A 17,909-nucleotide genomic window follows, 5' to 3' on the forward strand; every position below is an offset into this window, starting at 1 on the left:
ATGCATACAGTACCACCCAGGTGTGCGCACAGCACACAGAAGTGCATAATGCACTCAGTTACATATGCAACCCAGATCCGCTTTGCCGAGGCTGGTAGACAACTCCCAGAAGTAACACACAAAACACACAGGCACATGCTCGACTCTTAGCAATGGACACACAACACACCAGAGAGCTGTGCGTACACACCCATACCTCCCCCAACAACCCTGAGGTTTCTAGGTGCCTCTTTTCGTTAACTGTCCTTGTTTTCTCTGGACTTGAGCCTGAACACAACGCTCTGTATATGTGTGTGTGCCCATACATGTGTGCATGCAGAGTGCTTTGAACTCTGACTCTGGGAGCTCCTGGAAAGCCCTAGGTCTGAATTTTGGCCTTTCTTCTTCCTAAGGCCATGAAGGACACAACCTCTCCCTGAGCCTCAGTTTCCCCATCTGCACAAAGAGCACAATGAGGCCCAAGCACCTGGTATGCTGTGGGCATTGTCAGGTGTCCGCTTTGCACATGCCTCCTGGACCCCCATGGGCCCCCACACCCATCCAGCTCCCCAGATGGTCACACACCCCTCCATGAACACCCCTCCCACTCTCCATTTCAAAACTGCACAATAACCGGATCCACACGACTCCTCATGTAAACAGTCGGCAACACTCTGTGCTGACTCAGGTTTCAAAGAGTTGGCGTCAGAACCAGAGTCAGCGAGGGGCCAAGGCAGGACTTCCCCTGCCCTCACTTCTCCCTCGGAGGCACCAGGTTACTCAGCCCCGTCTCATTCACTCTCACTGTCCCACTTTCATAATCAGCTCCTACAGATTTTTTTGGTTTACTTCCCTTCCTCCCTGTTTTTGTCGCCCCCCCACCCTCCCCCCACCACCCCGCAGCAGAGCCATTTCTTCATTCTCATTCCTGGGTAGGTCACTCAGCCCTTTTGTGTCTAAGTTTCCTCATCTGTATAATGAGAACATGAGCTATATCTAACTCACAGGGATATTGTGAGAAATAAGTTAGTTATTTTGGGAAAAATGCTCTACATGGTATCGGGCATACAGTAAGCCTCGATCCTCAAGAAGTGTTGGGTACTCTTATTATTGGCTTAACATCTCTTCCTTAACTAACATTAATGAACAAAGAGGCAATCGGGATTGATTAAATGAGATAATGTCTGTAAAAAGACTTTAGAACAGTGCTTTTTTTTTTTTTTTTAAATAGAGACAGGGTTTCACCATGTTGCCCAGACTGGTCTTGAACTCCTGAGCTCAAGCGATCTGCCTGCCTCAGCCTCCCAAAGTGCTGGGATTACAGGTGTGAGCCACCATGCCCGGCCAAGTGCTTTCTTAAAAAATAGATTTAGGCTGGGTGCCGTAGCTCACGCATGTAATCGCAGCACTTTGGGAGGCTGAGGTGGGCGGATCACCCGAGGTCAGGAGTTTGAGACCAGCCTGGCCAACATGGTGAAACCCCGTCTCTACTAAAAATACAAAAATTAGCCAGGCGTGGTGGCGTGTGCCTGTAACCCCAGCTACTGAGGAGGCTGAGGCAGGAGAATTGCTTGAACCCAGGAGGTGGAGGTTGCAGTGAGCCAAGATCTTGCCATTGCACTCCAGCCTGGGAAACAAGATCGAAACTCTGTCTAAAAAAAAAAAAAAGATTTAGAAGGCCGGGTGTGGTGGCTCACGCCTGTAATCCCAACACTTTGGGAGGTCGAGGCAGGTGGATCACCTGAAGTCAGGAGTTCGAGATCTGACCAATATGGTGAAACCCCCGTCTCTACTAAAACTACAAAAATTAGCTGGGGGTGGTGGTGGTGTGGCTGTAATCCCAGCTACTCAGGAGGCTGAGACAGGAGAATCTCTTGAACCCCGGAGGCGGAGGTTGCAGTGAGCTGAGATCGCGCCACTGCACTCCAGCCTAGGTGACAGAGCAAGACTCTTGTCAAAAAAAAAAAATAGATTTAGAGGGTACAGCTGCAGTTTTGTGACATGGATATATTACATAGTGGTGAAGTCTGGGCTTTTAGTGTCCCCATCAACCAAATAGTGTACATTGTACCCATTAGGCAATTTCTCATCCCTCACATTCCTCCCACCCAGAATAGTGCTGGATACGCAGTAAGCACTCCATAAGGGCTGCTGGTAGTTTTTGTTGTGTTCTTGTTATTGGGCTATCATCCCTGAGTTAATCAAACTTAATTAGCAAGGGAGTATGGTGAGTGAATGAGATAATTTATACAAACACTTTAGCACATAGTACACAGAAAGTGCTCAATAAGTGGCTGCCATCATCACTACAATTATTATTATTGATCTATCCTCCTCGAATTAAGGATGTTAATCAGAACCCCAGGGAAGGTTCCTGCATTGTCAGAAAGCTGGTGGGCAAGGATTGCCCCACCCCACCCCCCACCAGGGGTACAGGTCCATGGGGAGGGGGCAGGGCAGGATGGGGTGGGGATTAGTTTTCTACTGACCCACTCACTTGCTTCTTTCACCATCATTCATGGCCACCCCCTTCCCAATGCTCATTCATTCACCCGCACCATTCCCTGCTTGCTAGGACGGTGCCACTCCTGAGTTACAACCCTGGTGCCAGGTAGCCTCTGTTTGAATCCCGGCCATGCCCTGTGATCTTAGGAAAATTCTACAGTTCCTCTACGCCCCATATTTCCTCATCCGTAAAACGGGAATAAGAACCGGTACCCATCTCAGAGATTTGTTGTGAGCTTTGAGTGAGATAAACTATGCTGAGTGCCTGGTATACAGTAGGTGCTGTATAAATGCCGGCTATTTGCCTGTGTTATTTGAGACCCTGGCTTTGGCTCCTGGCCACCTGAGTTCCAGTCTCAGTTCTGCCATGTATTGACTCTGTGATCCTGGGTAAGTCACTTAACCACTCCGTGCCTCAGTTTCCCCATTTTGTATTCCTCCCCTTTCACCTGCCTTATCTCCCTCCACTGCTGCTACTTAATTTGTTTCCTCTCTGCCACCCCTCACCAGCATGTCAGACATACAAAACAAGGGATTTTTGTGTGCTTGGCACACAGTAGATGCACAATAAATGTTGAAGGGCTGAACTAATTTGGGTTTGAGTCATAGGGAGCTTGGGGGATGTGGGTGATTGGATAGATTCTGGAGACTTTAGGGGACTGGGCCGGGGGAAATGCGGCCTCTAAGCTCTCCGCTGAGGCGGCTTGGAAGGAATAGTGACTGACGTGGAGGTGGGGGAGGTGGCTGGCCCGGGCGAGGCCCAGGGAGAGGGAGAGGAGGCGGGTGGGAGAGGAGGAGGGTGTATCTCCTTTCGTCGGCCCGCCCCTTGGCTTCTGCACTGATGGTGGGTGGATGAGTAATGCATCCAGGAAGCCTGGAGGCCTGTGGTTTCCGCACCCGCTGCCACCCCCGCCCCTAGCGTGGACATTTATCCTCTAGCGCTCAGGCCCTGCCGCCATCGCCGCAGATCCAGCGCCCAGAGAGACACCAGAGGTAAGCAGGGCCCGGGGTGGCCCAGCAGGGACCGGAGCTGGGCTGCAGCTTGGGTGCTGGCCACCAGGCCCGTGCACTCCCGTGCCAGATGCCTGTCTACTCAGCTTGGCCTGCGGGTACCAGGACCCTGGGCTAGTCTAGGGGGAAGAGGGTCGGAGGCTGGAACTGCTTTCCCAACCCCGAGGCTCCAAACTCCCTAGAACCCCTGACATCCGCCCCCAATTCCCCCAAACCCATGACCCCCTAATATCACAAATGCTTTCCAAATCCCCCCGCAAATTCCTTCATCCCGAAATTTCCCTCATCGCCCCCTAAATACCCACCGCTAACCCCTGCAGCTCCCTAAACTCCCCCAGCTCCCCAATCCCCAGTTCCCCAGCTCCCAAACTTCTTTTGCCCTCAAATTCCTCAAGTATCCCCATTGCCTTAAGCCCCCAAATTCCCCCAACCCCTTCAACCTCCAAACTCCCCCAGCTCCCTAAACCCCCAACCTCCTCCAAATTCCTCAACCTCCCTAAATTCCCCCAGCCTCTTATATCTCTTAATATACACAACCCCTAAACTCTGCCGTCTCCAAACTCCTCCAGCCCCCAATCCCAAATTCCTCACCCCCAAACTCCTCAACCTCCAGAATTCCCCAATCCCCTCATTCCTCAAACTTCCTCAGCCCCCTTCTCCCCCAAGTGCCACAACCCCATAACCCCGCAACTCACTCAGTCCCTCAATAATTTAAACTCTCCCAACTCTCTAAACCCTAAATTCCTCTGCGCTCCCCAATCCCCTTAAAATCCCTAAGCTTACCAACCCCTCAAGCCCAAATCCAGCCCCCTAATCCCCCCCATAGGCTGCCCCGGGGCAAGATGGGGTGGATGACCTGCCCAGGTCAGCAGATCAGCTGGGCCGGGGCCTGCCTGACATCCCCCTTCCCCACAGAACCCACCATGGCCCCCTTTGAGCCCCTGGCTTCTGGCATCCTGTTGTTGCTGTGGCTGATAGCCCCCAGCAGGGCCTGCACCTGTGTCCCACCCCACCCACAGACGGCCTTCTGCAATTCCGACCTCGGTGAGTCCTCACCCCACTCAGCCCACACACTCTGCCTTGGTTTCCCTTTCAGTCCAGTGGGGCTCACCATGGCACTTACCTCTAGAATGATTCCACTCGCCCCTGCACTTCCTCTGCTTTAGCCACACTGGCATCCTCACACTTCCTTGAGTACTCTGTGCCCAAGCCCACCACAGGATCTGCATGCTGGCTGCTCCCTCTGCCTGGTACACTTTCCCCCCAGGTATCCACATGGGTGGCTGCCTCAAACGTCACCTTCTCAGGATGGCCTTCCCTGGCCATCCTGTTTAAAATTTTAACCCCTGCCCCTTAGTACTCCTGATCTCCTGTTAAACAGAAAAATATTCAGTGATACTTGTTATAACACAGTAAGGAAGACCATATTCAGGACCATGGTGATGGGTATAGGAACCACTGCAATGGGATCTTGCAGTCGGTGGGAGAGATTGGGCTCAACACTGAATATAGCATGGGCCAGTGGGAATGTGTAGCTAAGGAGCAGTGTGAGGGTCTGTGGGTGGAAATTACTAAGAAGAAACATCAGGGGTAAGGGGGATTCTGGCTAAACCGACGTAACAGGATTCTTGCTGAAGGCAGGCCAAGGGGAATCAGACATCACCTGGGGGATGGTGGAAGATGAAGAACCCAGTCAGATAGCAAGGATGATCAGGTATTGAGGATGATCAGAGATTGAGGATGATCAGAGATTGAGGATGATCAGGTATTGAGGATGATCAGAGATTGAGGATGATCAGGTATTGAGGATGATCAGAGATTGAGGATGATCAGGTATTGAGGATGATCAGAGATTGAGGATGATCAGATATAGAATATAGGGGTTCTTGCTAAACTGACTTAGCAAGGCTCTCGGCTAAAACTGGATTTTACAAGGAAGTGCACAGATGGGCCTAGGAGGAGGTTCAGGAGCCTGAGTAAAGTTTGGTCAAGCAAAGAATCTTTGTCAGCCCCTTACCCAGGTCTGTAATTCCCCATTATACTTAATGTCTAACATTCCATATCCTTATTTTGTTTGTTCTTAGCCTGTCTCCTCCTGGCTAGAATGTGAACTCCACAAGGAAAGGGATTTCTGTGTTTTGTTCACTGTTGTGTCCCTAACACCCAGAACAATGTCTGGCACACAGTGGGCACTCCCAAATATTTGAGGAGTAAATGAACAAATCAATGTATGAAAATGGCTTAAGCAGTGCCCGGCAAAGAGAGACACTCAACATACAGATGAATCAATGAACAAATGTGTAAATCACTTTGTGTGCTGTCTGGCATCCAATAACCCCTATTTATGTATGCGCTTTGCTGGTATGATGATGATGATGATGATGATCTTATTTTTATTGGCTCATGCAGTCCATTTGACTCATATTTCCCTCCTCTCCTGCAGTCATCAGGGCCAAGTTCGTGGGGACACCAGAAGTCAACCAGACCACCTTATACCAGCGTTATGAGATCAAGATGACCAAGGTATCCCCTGCCCCCGCCTCTTTCCCAGCATTTTCTAACATCTTCCTCCTGGTCAAAACAGAAACTTCTGGCCACTGGTTGGTGCGAGAAAGTTGGCTGTGATCTTGGGATGCTATATGACTTCAGGGAAGAACCTGGAGTGGGAGGATTATGTCAGTAAAAGAGACACTTCCCCTCATCCATCAACAGATGTATAAAGGGTTCCAAGCCTTAGGGGATGCCGCTGACATCCGGTTCGTCTACACCCCCGCCATGGAGAGTGTCTGCGGATACTTCCACAGGTCCCACAACCGCAGCGAGGAGTTTCTCATTGCTGGTGAGGCACCGTCCCCGCGCCCTGTGCCACACCAACCAGTCCCTGGGGCGCGGCCTAGCAACCACGAGGGGGCGAGGCTCTGATGGGAATGGTCCCACTGGAAATGGGGACCACCCCAATTTCAGTCTATCAGAAGGCCGGGCCTTTGGCAGCTTGGCAGCTCAGCCAATCACAAGCTGCTTGTCGGTCCCCGCCCCGCCTTTCTCCTTAGGAAAACTGCAGGATGGACTCTTGCACATCACTACCTGCAGTTTTGTGGCTCCCTGGAACAGCCTGAGCTTAGCTCAGCGCCGGGGCTTCACCAAGACCTACACTGTTGGCTGTGAGGAATGCACAGTGAGTGCCTGGACCCTGACCTCCAACGGGAGATCCTTCCCGGGGCCATTCCCTAAATCGTGGGCTTGTTTCTTGCTCCCTCTGGCTATTCTGTGTCCCTGTGGCTGCTCCCCAACCCTAAGGGCTGTCCCTGATCTCTCTTGCTATTTCCCCAAGCCCGAGACTGCTCCCTTACAAATTCTGGCTGCTCCCTTTCCCTGTGTCCAATACCGTGTGATCACCTGTCCCTCCCTGGTCCCTCTAATTCTCCCTTGTGACTATTCTGTAATCCCACTCCCCGTTCCTGAGCCCCCGGGATTGTTTCTTGGTTCCCCAGAATGTTCTCCAAGAACCCAAAGTGCTGTTCCCTAATCCCACTGACCCTTCCTCAGCACATCTGCTTGTTGCTCTGCAGCTCTGACTATTCCAGACACCAGAGGGTGTTACACTGACCTCCTGGCTAGTCCAAGCCTGTTCCCTGATGGCTCCTGATGGCCTCTGAGCCCAGTGACTATCTTGAAGCCCCACTGGCTATTCCTGTGCTTAAACTCCTTAGCCGCCAACCGGGTGGGGCCCCTTACTACTGCCAGTTTTTCCCTGTCCTTTGGGACAATTCCACAGGCGACCTGCCTGACTGACCCCCAGGGCCTATTCCCCAGCCACCATTCCAGGACACTGATTTACTGGCTTACTGTTACCTTTCAGGACCCAGTGACATTTCCCTCAATGGGAGGGGCTGTCCTGGGGTATGTACTTAGGTGGGGTGAGAGCAAGTCTCCCCAGCGGCTCAGTGTTGAAAGCTGAGGAGAGGAAGTTCTGCTCCACGGGGGAGGCAGGGAGAAGCCCTCAGAGATGTTTCCCTCCTCCCTTCCAGGTGTTTCCCTGTTTATCCATCCCCTGCAAACTGCAGAGTGGCACTCATTGCTTGTGGACGGACCAGCTCCTCCAAGGCTCTGAAAAGGGCTTCCAGTCCCGTCACCTTGCCTGCCTGCCTCGGGAGCCAGGGCTGTGCACCTGGCAGTCCCTGCGGTCCCAGATAGCCTGAATCCTGCCCGGAGTGGAAGCTGAAGCCTGCACAGTGTCCACCCTGTTCCCACTCCCATCTTTCTTCCGGACAATGAAATAAAGAGTTACCACCCAGCAGACACTGTTTCTGTGTAGTGCCTGGGAACAAACCCATGTTGCTGATGACCTGGTGTGAGCACCCTGGGACCAGTGGGGATGAGGGATGCCAAATGTTGGGTTTTTATATTTTACTTAAATTCTGATGTACTGGTAGTAATTCTCAACATTGGCATTAGCACTGATGATCTGCAACAGCAGCAATGGTCACTGAACCTGCATTATCAACCGTAACCTCTGAATAATTTCTCCAGCCAATACTTTAAAACATTTTCCTATACTGATTCCTAATTGCTATTTGCCCAGGGCTTTCTAGTTATAAATTATCCCACAGCTGACAAATCACTGCCTTACTGGAAATTCCCCATTCACACATCTTGCCAGCTGACAGAGTCATTGACAAATGCCCTACCAATTGGCAAATGACTATCATTGCCTCAAGCACAGTCCTGATGTTGTCCAGTGAGGATGCCCCATCCAAACACGTGGGTGTTACTGTCCTCATCCTCAGGTTTTGTACCATGAGTCTGACTTGAGTGAAAGGGGACCCAGGGCACCCAGAGTCCCACAGTAACCCAGCTGGGGACTTGGGAAGAAGGGGTGGCCCTGGCTCCCCAGCCATGGCTGCAGGACATTCCTTGGAAGGGACTGTTTGGGGCAGAGGAGAGGTGGGATGGAGAGAAGGTATGAGCTAAAAATCCCCAAGCTCTGCCATCCTCCCTCCCCTACTTCTCCCCTCACTCCTCTGACCAACTTGGAAGGAAATACTGACAGCAATGAAATGCAGGTAGGGTTCAAAATTAAGACCAGCCAGATATGCTGGCCCATACCCTCCACACACCTCCCTCAACCCAACTGTCCCCTCACCCAAACTAGGGTCTCTAGACTCGACCCTCACCTTTATGAATCATCCTTTCTCTAGAAAAACTGAGTGAGAGAACCTCCAAATACTCCCCTCTGAGGCCTTCCTGCTTCCACAGCGGGGTCCAGTCCCTGGCTCCTGCCCCTCATACTCCAAAGGTCTTGACTCAAGTGAGGCCCTTGGGAACTAGAATTTCAGACTGGTGCAAACATTCAATGGAGCACCTGTGTCCTCCTGACCTGAACGTGCTTGAAAAGGGCCCCAATATATCTCCTTTGGTAAAGAAAAGGACCCCCAAATTCCCTCTCATCAGAGTACCCACTGCTCTTACCAGTAAGAACCCAGGTCTCCTCCAGGGCATTCTAGGTCACCAAGCACAGCCCCCTGGATCTTCTGTGGTCCTGTCCCAGAGCCTTTTACACTCCTGGGAGGTTACCCCACGGCCCAAATTATGTCCCGGATGGGAATGGGCAGATTTTGAACACACAGTACTCAGCCACTTAAGCAGGGAATGCGCATGCAGCAACAATTTCTACATCAACATCTACACCTTGGTTACGCCCTCGGAGGGTCTGAACCTTGTCCACCGAAGGGGCCAACCGCAGCCTTTGCTGATGGGCACAACTGTAAGGTAAGGGCCCGAGCCCTGGTTCATCCCTGGTGACCTTGTCAATGTTCCCTCAGCTGCCTGCAAGAGGCTGACCGCTCCTGGCAATTCGCCAAACCTTAGTGTCAGCTACCTGCACTCTTAAGCTGCTCCCTGGCCTCAGGGCCCATTTCCTAAGTCCTCAGCTCTTCCAAGCCCTAGGGGGAAGGTGAAGTAGCAGGGGAAGGATGGAACCCAGCGTGGAGGTCGTTCTCCTGCCGACCTGTCTACCCTGCAGGTCAGCCCTTCGCCAAGTGCAATGCAGAATGGACAGGGAGGACCGGAGACCAGAACAGGTCTCAGGGGACACAGAGCCCAGAACAGCAGACGAGGCTACCTCCACCAGAGACCTGGCATGAGCTCCTGGCAGGATCTGTAACCCTGGGCTCATTACATCCCCCATTGCTCTTGTAGAACATCTGTTAAAATAGGTCAAGTGAGCATCCTCCATCCCCAGCATTCGGGGTGTCTGTGGGTGAATCTCTGGGAGAGACTCTGTGACAGCTGAGAGGAAGCTTGTAGGGGTCACAGCCATGTGGTATTCAGCATGGGACCCAGCTCAGTGGGGAGCCTGGGGGGCCAGTCCTTCTCTCACCTGAGCCTCAGTCCTTCTCGCCATGTTTAAACATGGACGTCACAGTCCTGGCCCAGAATCCTTCAGAGGTCTGTGGTGGGGTTGGAGGATGTTTACGGGGTGTCTTTGCCCCTTGGATATTTTTGGGGGGGTCAAAACACAGGAAATGGGACAGTCATGGTGGCTGACGCCTGTAATACTAGCACTTTGGGAGGCCAAGGTGGGCAGATCACGAGGTCAGGAGTTCAAGACGAGCCTGGCCAACATGGTTTCCATCTCTACTAAATATACAAAATTTAGCCAGCTGTGGTGGCGCATGCCCTGTGGTCCCAGTTACTTGGGAGGCTGAGGCACAAGAATCGTTTGAACCCAGGAGGCGGAAGTTGCAGGGAGCTGAGATCATGCCACTGCACCCCAGGCTGGGGGATAGAGCAAGACTGTCTCAAAAAAAAAAAAAAAAAGGCCGGGCATGGTGGCTTACGCCTGTAATCCCAGCAATTTGGGAGGCCAAGGTGGGCAGATCACGAGGTCAGGAGATCGAGACCATCCTGGCTAACAAGGTGAAACCCTGTCTCTACTAAAAATACCAAAAAAAAAAAAAATTAGCCGAGTATGGTGGTGGGCGCCTGTAGTCCCAGCTACTCGAGAGGCAGGAGAATGGCATGAACCTGGGAGGCGGAGCTTGCAGTGAGCTGAGATCAAGCCACTGCACTCCAGCCTGGGCAACAGAGCCAGACTCCGTCTCAAAAAAAAAAAAAAAAAAAAAGCAGGAACCCTGGAGCCAGATCATCTGCATTCAAATCTTGCCCCTGCCATGTCTTAGCTCTGTGTCCTTGAATAAATCATATTGCCTCTTTGAGCCTCAGTTCCTGCATCTGTAAGACAGGGATAAAAAGAAGGCCTAACTCATAGAGACAATGTCCATATTAAATGAGGTTGTATATGTGAAGTACTTGGAACAGTGCTAGGCATATAGCACTTACAAGCATTAGTTACTAGAAGTAGTTATGATAACTATAACTTATAACTTTAGTAGTGATTATTTATAATATTGCAAACAATGTTTGATATTAGGCATGATAATATACGATATTGGAAATAATGTGTATGATTAGTACCAATAATTTAATGTCCATTTCTCCCCCACACCAGTCTCCTCACCAAAATACAAGCTCCTGACCCTGCTCTGCCTGAAGGAATGGGGTAGGTCTCCGAGACCCAAAAGCTCCTGATGTGATACTAAGATCCCAGCTCTTTACGCCATAAATGTTCCTCAGTCCCAGTGTCCCTCTCTCTTTTCCCCCTCACAGACAATCCAGTTTCCTAGTGGAGTCCTGAACCTGTGGCTCACAGAAGCACCTGAAAATAAAGAGCAATGTGGTTAGATCCTTCTACACGCCCACCCACAACAACTGTGGCGACACCATGAGGAGAGGTTCCCCTTTAGGGATTCCTAACGGCAGGCCAGCCAACCTGTCCCCACCCTGTGTGGACTCCTCACCCTCAGGTCTCCCTCTGCACCACCCTGGAACAAAAAGTCCCCATCCCTGGAGCATTCTCCCCACGAAGAACCCCCGCCTCACAATACTATGTTCCCAACTTCAGCCCGTCACAGCAAATTCTGTCCCCAGTCCGTAGTGTTCTGAGTCTTTGAGACTTGGGGATCATAGCATGTCCTAGCCAAGGGACATATGGTCATGCTACACTGGTCCTTGGGACATGGCCTCTGTCCCTCCAGGTCCTTTGAGGGATAGAAGTCTGCACTCTGCGAGATGGGGGGTGCATCCTTGGAAGGGGCTCAGGGAGGAGCCCAGAAAGGGCTTCCTGACTTTCTATAGGAAAGGATGCGATGGGGCCTTGAGTGAGTCCCTCAGGGACTCCCGCAGCCACAGGCGTCCCCTTTGTGTTGTGGCTCACCCCTGTTCTTCCTGCCTCTTGCTCCCCTACTTCTTCTTCCTATTCCCTGCTCCTTGTCCCCGTTGCCTACTTCCTATCCCTTGGTCCTTCTACATATTCCCTACTCTTTTGTAAAATGTTTTATTTTATTTTATTTTATTTTTGAGACAGAGTCTCACTCTGTTGCCCCAGCTGGAGTGCAGTGGTGCAATCATGGTTCATTGCAACCTCAACCTCCTGGGCTCAAGTGATCCTCCCACCTCAGCCAGCTAAGTAGCTGGGACTACAGGCACATGCCACCATGCTCAGCTAATTTTTTGTAGAGACGGGGTTTCATCATGTTGCCCAGGCTGGTCCGGAACTCCTAGGCTCAAGCGATCCTCCCAGCTCAGCCTCCCAAAGTGCTGGGATTACAGGCGTGGGCCATCAGGCTCTGCCTGCATGTTCCCTGCTATCAAGCCCTGCTCCAGCTCCTGTTCCCACTCTTCGTGGTTCCCTTTCTGTTTCTACTCTTGTCAGAACTACATAGTTACAAAACAGCCAGGAGGTGCTGCTGCCCTACCAGGCACCAGGAATTAATGAGAAAAGTTGCTGTTAAGGTAGTATGGCTTTGGTACAGGTTTACAGAAAGTGGCCAATGGAACAGAATAGAGTTCTGAACCTGCAGGACAGAGATATGAAATGTTAGTATAGGCCGGGCGCGGTGGCTCACACCTATAATCCCAGCACTTTGGGAGGCCGAGGCGGGTGGATCACCTGAAGTCAGGAGTTCGAGACCAGCCTGGCCAACATGGTGAAACCCCGTCTCTACTACAAATGCAAAAATTAGCTGGGTGTGGTGGGATGCCCCTGTAATCCCAGCTACTTGGGAGGCTGAGGTGGGAGAATTGCTTGAACTCAGGAGGCGGAGGCTGCAGTGAGCCAAGATCGCGCCACTGCACTCCAGCCTGGGCAACAGAGAGACACCCTGTCTCAAAAAAAAAAAAAAGTTAGTATATATATGACAGAGGTGGCATACAAGCTCAGTGGGGGACAAGGGCTTACCTATAAGGAAAAAGATGAACTCAATCCCTACCTCCTTCACACTGTATATGAAAAGGAATTTCAGAAGAATGAAGAATTTAGATGGCAAAAACGAAACTTTACTAAAAAGTCCCTCTTTGCTCTAGTGACTTGAGTCACTACTTTGATCATACACTAAAGTTCCATATGTACATGGATCTATAACTGGACTTTTGTTTTTCTTCCTTTAATCTGTCAGCCTGTCTATTCATGGGTCAGCATCACACTATTTAAATTATAAAAGTTTCAGGCTGGACATGGCGGCTCATGCCTATAATCCCAGAGTTTTGGGGAGGCCAAAGCAGGAGGATTACTTGAGGCCAGGAGTTTGAGACCAACCTAGGCAACATAGCAAGACCGTGCCTCTACAAAATAAACAATAAAAAAATTAGCTATACATGCACCTGTAATTATAGCTACTCAGGAGGCTGAGGTAGAAGGATTGCTGGAACCCAGGAGGTTGGGGCTGCAGTGAGCTACAATCATGCCACTGCACTCCGGCCTGGGCAATACAGCAAGATTTTGTCTCAAATAAATAAATAAATAAATAAATAAATAAATAAATGAAATCTTCGTAAAATGTCTGGTGGCAGAGGCATCAGACTCCCTGTGGGCTGGGAGTATGAGTCCTTATTATCACTTTTCTTTTTCAGGGTTTTCCTAGTTTTTCTTGCATGTTCGCTTTTCCATATGAACTTTACTATCAACTCATTTAGCTCTAGATATAAGTTTGTAGGTATATTTTTGGGAACCACATTAAATATATAAATTAAATAAGGACGTGAGAAGGTGAACTGCCATTTTCATGATGTTAATTCATTCTACCCGAGAACAAGGAATGTCTTTCCATCTGCCTAAGTCTACCTTTGTGTCTTTCAGGAGTGTTTTAAACTTTTCCTCATATCACTTTGCACATCCCTTGTTGATCTTATCCCAAAATATCTTATTTTTTTTGTTGTTATTGTATATGTTTTCTCTTCTATTATACCTTCTATCTGGTTATTTGTGTATATAAAAACTACTGATTTCTGCATGTTGATTTCATATGCTGCTGTTACTGCATTCTTTTTTATTTTTATTTTTTGAGACAAGGTCTCGCTCTGTCACCCAGGCTGGAGTGCAGTGGTGGGATCATAGCTCACTGCAGCCTCAAACTCCTGGACTTAAGTGATCCTCCCGCCTCAGCCTCCCGAGTAGCTGGGACTACAAGGGTGCACCACCATGTCTGGCTAATTTTGTGTTTTTTTTGTTTTGTTTTGTTTTTTTGATAGAGATGGGGTTTCACCATGTTGACCAGGCTGGTCTTGAACTCCTGGGCTCAAGTGATCCTTCTGCCTTGGCCTCCCAAAGTGTTGGGATTACGATGTAAGCCACCGTGCTCACCCTTAATGTGGTTTTGAATTTGTTTGCTAATATTTTATTTAGGATTTTTGCATTGATATTTATAGTAAAAATGGTCTATGCTTTTTTTTTTTTTTTGAGACAAAGTCTCGCTCTATCACCCAGGCTGGAGTGCAGTGGCATGATCTCAGCTCACTCAACCTCTGCCTCCTGGGTTCAAGTTATTCTCCTGCCTCAGCCTCCGGAGTAGCTGGGACTACAGGCGCACACCACCACGCCCAGCTAATTTTTATATTTTTAGTAGAGATGGGGTTTTACCATGTTGGTCAGGCTGGTCTCGAACTCCTGATCTCAAGTGATCCACCTGCCCTGGCCTCCCAACATGCTGTGATTATAGCCGTGAGCCACTGCACCAGGTCTATGCTTTTCTTTGTGCTATTAATGTTATAATTGCTTTAGAAAGGTAATATGGAAGTTTGTCTTCATTTTCCATTCTGTGGAACAATTTATGTGGCCATTGGGATTAACTAGTCTCTAGCATTTCAGTGGAATTCCCCTGTGAAATCATCTGGGCCTGATGATTTTTTATGGGGAAGTTCCTTAAAAACTTTCTCTATTTCTTTTATGGAAATTGGTTTGTTAACCTCTAATGGGGTCGATTTTGGTAAACTGTGTTTCCCCAGGAAATTACTTATTTTCATCTAGGTTTTCTATTTTATCTGTGGATGCCTTTTTTATATTTTGACTTTTAGAACCACGCTAACGTCTTACATTTAAAAATATAAAATTAAATCAGCATTACCAGGCGTGGTGGCTCATGCCTGTAATCCTAGCACTTTGGGAGGCCAAGGCAGGTAGATCGCTCAGGCTCAGGAGTTTGAGAGTAGCCTGAGCAACATGGTGAAACCCAATCTCTTATAAAAAATACAAAAGAATTAGCTAGGCATGGTGGCACGCACCTGTGGCCCCAGCTACTCAGGAGGCTGAGGTGGGAAGGTTGCTTGAGTCCAGGAGGCGGAGGTTGCAGTGAGCCAAGATTGCGCCACTGCACTCCAGCCTGGGCGACAGAGTCACGGACTCTATCTCAAAAAAAAAAAAAAGGCTGGGTGCAGTGGCTCACGTCTGTAATCCCAGAACTTTGGGAGGCAGAGGCAAGTGGATCACCTGAGGCCAGGAGTTCAAGACCAGCCTGGCTAACATGGTGAACCCCATCTCTACTAAAAATACAAAAATAATTAGCTGGGTGTGGTGGCACACACCTGTAGTCCCAGCTACTTGGGAGGCTGATGCAAGAGAATTGCTTGAACCCGGGAGGCAGAGGCTGCAGTGAGCCAAGACCACACCACCACACTCCAGTTGGGTGACAAAGTGAGACTCTGTCTCAAAAAAAAAAAAAAGAAAAAGAAAAAAAAAGACCTCCCTTTTAGAAGGGGTCCTGCCCAATACCCAGAAGGAAGGGATGTTGCAGAGAGAGTCTAAGGCTCTGAACAGACAGGCCTTGCTGGGTTTCCCCACTCAGTCTGTTAGTACAAGATCACACCCTTTTTGTCCCATCACATTTCTTTCTTTCTTTTCTTTTCTTTTTTTTTTTTTTTGAGACAGAGTTTCGCTCTTGTTGCCCAGGCTGGAGTGCAATGGTGTGATCTCAGCTCACCGCAACCTCCGTCTCCTTGGTTCAAGCAATTCTCCTGCCTCAGCCGCTCGAGTAGCTGGGATTACAGGCATGCGCCACTGCCCCTGGCTAATTTTGTATTTTTAGTAGGTACGGGGTTTCTCCATGTTGGTCAGGCTGGTCTAGAACTCCCGACCTCAGGTGATCCGCCTGCCTCAGCCTCCCAAAGTGCTGGGATTACAGGTGTGAGCCACTGCGCCTGGCTGTCCCATCACATTTCTATACAGTTATAAATCCTGCCTATGCAATGAAGTCTCCATGAAGGGCTGAAGAGGATGGAGTTGGAGAGCTTCTGGATAGCCGAACATGTGGGGTTCCTGGAGGGTGGCTACCTGGGGGTGGGGCATGGAAGCTCTGTGCTCTTTCCCACATGCTTCGTCCTCTGCATCTCTTCATCTGTATCCTTTGTAATGTAATACTCTTTACAATAAACCGATCATGTAAATAAGTGTTTCCCTGAGTTCCATGAGCCACACTAGCAAACTAATTGAACCTGAGGAAGGGGTTGTGGACCCCGATTTATAGCTAGTTGGTCAGAAGCACAGGTAAAATAACCTGGGGCTTGCCATCAGCATTAGAAGTAGGGCTTAGTCCTGTGGGACTACACCCTTAACCTGTGTGATCTGATGCTATCCTCCAGGTAGATAGTGTCAGAATTGAATTGCAGGACATCCAGCTGGTATATTAATTTGCTGCAGAATTAATTGCTTCTTGGTGTGTGTGTAAAAGCCTCCACACATGGTATTGTGAGAGCAGAAGAAAAAACAGTTTGATTCTTCTACTCACACACATATAACAATTTTATATATACACATATATGAAATTATATATATATACATAAAGAAATGAAATGTCCTAGCTGTGTACAATGAGAGGGCCTTGAAGCAAGAACATTCCAGTAGCAATGAGTAAATCTAGTTCCCAGATCTTGGCTTTGAAATACTATTATCTTTGGGCTGGGGCCGGGAAAGAACAAGATATGCCTGGAGGTGATGTCAGCAGAAATGTAAGAGCCTGTCTTCTCCTCCTTAAAATTGCTTAAAAGCAATGAGAACACTGGCAAAAATTGTCAAAACAAACTTATCAGAACTCTGGAAATTGACCAAGGTTTACAATTCAGAAAGCATTTTTTCAAGAAAATGGCTGAATCTTGGTAACAACAGGAAGCTGTGGCATTTGAACTTCTCTTGTACACATCCCCTTCTCCTCACCTCCACAAGAGCCTTGAAAATCAACAGCCCTGCAATTCCAGTGAAAACCAGCAGACTAGCAACCATTGGAGGAGGCAGAACAGGGTTGGAGTTCCTCCAAAATCTCATTTCCAGAGAACTGTCTTTATTTGATCTGTCTGGCACTATCCTGAATACTCCACTCATGGGGCTCATCTGGTATAAACAGCTTTCTCTGGGGGTGCTTTTCAGAAACAATTAGCAGCAACTGTTTAACACAGCAGTGATAACATTTAGGAAAAAACAACAAGCTTTTCAAGAAAACTTAAAAGGAAAATCTAGGTAATTATATATCCATTATCAGTCCATTATTAGGCTTTAAAAAGCTCTGACATATGCCTGGGAATCTAGAAAACCACAAATACGCATAAGGCTGTATGTATGCCTAGGATCTCTGGCTGACCTCAAAACTCTGCACAAGCAGGAAATGAAGGATAAGGCAAAGTTGTAAACAGCCTGCCTTTGCATTAAAGGCACACCCTGACATGCACATAGAGCCCATCAGCAAAGTCTGGGAGACTTACTGGTTTCAGGTGATTTAAAGAAATATCTGTCCAATCATTAGCTGACCACTAAGCTAACGGAGCAGAGACTTGGGTAGCCACATATGACAAAGAACACAGGCTTTACAGAATTAGTTCAGGAAGGTCACTAAAAACAAAACAAAGCAATAAAAACAAATCCTGAGGAGGGGAGAGAACCTGATTCCCAGAGTTGCCACATTATATTATTTAAATGTCCAGTTTTCAACAAAAATGTATGAGAGATGCAAAGAAACAAAATTAAGTGTGGCCCAAACACAGGGAAAAAAGCAGTCAAACACTATCCCTGAGGAAACCCAGATGTTAGACTTAAT

At 48.9% G+C, this 17,909-nt stretch overlaps 2 protein-coding genes and 1 non-coding gene across 4 annotated transcripts in view, besides 5 other annotated features; 2 read left to right on the plus strand and 1 right to left on the minus strand.

The window, feature by feature from the left end:
• The window catches only part of SYN1 (synapsin I), a 47,957-nt gene that overhangs the window by 7,097 nt on the left and 22,951 nt on the right, over window positions 1-17,909 (minus strand). The gene's annotated exons all lie outside the window — the stretch shown is intronic.
• Window positions 449-969: a transcriptional cis regulatory region, noted in NCBI's record as "genic|chrX:47438845-47439365 region (GRCh37/hg19 assembly coordinates) targeted for CRISPR interference". NCBI's record gives its function as "negatively regulates HDAC6 gene expression in K562 cells {active_cell/tissue: K562}" and the evidence as "EXISTENCE:mutant phenotype evidence [ECO:0000015][PMID:31784727]".
• Window positions 583-756: a silencer, noted in NCBI's record as "fragment chrX:47438979-47439152 (GRCh37/hg19 assembly coordinates)". NCBI's record gives its function as "represses an EF-1alpha promoter that drives an FKBP-Casp9 reporter gene in an ReSE screen in phorbol 12-myristate 13-acetate-treated (for megakaryocytic differentiation) K562 erythroleukemia cells {active_cell/tissue: K562(+PMA)}" and the evidence as "EXISTENCE:reporter gene assay evidence [ECO:0000049][PMID:32094911]".
• Window positions 3,087-3,236: a silencer, noted in NCBI's record as "silent region_20808". NCBI's record gives its function as "represses an Ori minimal core promoter by ATAC-STARR-seq in GM12878 lymphoblastoid cells {active_cell/tissue: GM12878}" and the evidence as "EXISTENCE:reporter gene assay evidence [ECO:0000049][PMID:35858748]".
• Window positions 3,297-3,396: a silencer, noted in NCBI's record as "silent region_20809". NCBI's record gives its function as "represses an Ori minimal core promoter by ATAC-STARR-seq in GM12878 lymphoblastoid cells {active_cell/tissue: GM12878}" and the evidence as "EXISTENCE:reporter gene assay evidence [ECO:0000049][PMID:35858748]".
• On the plus strand, window positions 3,439-7,792 carry TIMP1 (TIMP metallopeptidase inhibitor 1). Its single transcript, NM_003254.3, has 6 exons — window positions 3,439-3,477; window positions 4,411-4,539; window positions 5,939-6,018; window positions 6,208-6,334; window positions 6,546-6,670; window positions 7,524-7,792. Exons 2-6 carry the CDS (start codon window positions 4,419-4,421, stop codon window positions 7,692-7,694), a joined length of 624 nt encoding a protein of 207 aa, NP_003245.1. The 5' UTR covers window positions 3,439-3,477; window positions 4,411-4,418; the 3' UTR covers window positions 7,695-7,792.
• Window positions 8,293-8,587: a silencer, noted in NCBI's record as "tiled region #5754; K562 Repressive DNase matched - State 18:Pol2". NCBI's record gives its function as "represses a minimal TATA promoter and a strong SV40 promoter by Sharpr-MPRA in K562 cells {active_cell/tissue: K562}" and the evidence as "EXISTENCE:reporter gene assay evidence [ECO:0000049][PMID:27701403]".
• Window positions 8,432-8,508, plus strand: MIR4769 (microRNA 4769). Its single transcript, NR_039926.1, has one exon. It is a non-coding gene; the product is annotated as a microRNA 4769 (primary transcript).

Source organism: Homo sapiens, chromosome X, assembly GCF_000001405.40.
Source record: "Homo sapiens chromosome X, GRCh38.p14 Primary Assembly".
Lineage (NCBI taxonomy): Eukaryota > Metazoa > Chordata > Mammalia > Primates > Hominidae > Homo > Homo sapiens.

Coding starts and splice junctions, on each gene's coding strand:
- TIMP1 (NM_003254.3), top strand. CDS start 4,419: ATGGCCCCCTTTGAGCCCCTGGCTTCTGGCATCCTGTTGTTGCTGTGG. Junction 4,540..5,938: donor CTTCTGCAATTCCGACCTCG/GTGAGTCCTCAC, acceptor CCTCTCCTGCAG/TCATCAGGGCCAAGTTCGTG. Junction 6,671..7,523: donor TTGGCTGTGAGGAATGCACA/GTGAGTGCCTGG, acceptor CCTCCCTTCCAG/GTGTTTCCCTGTTTATCCAT.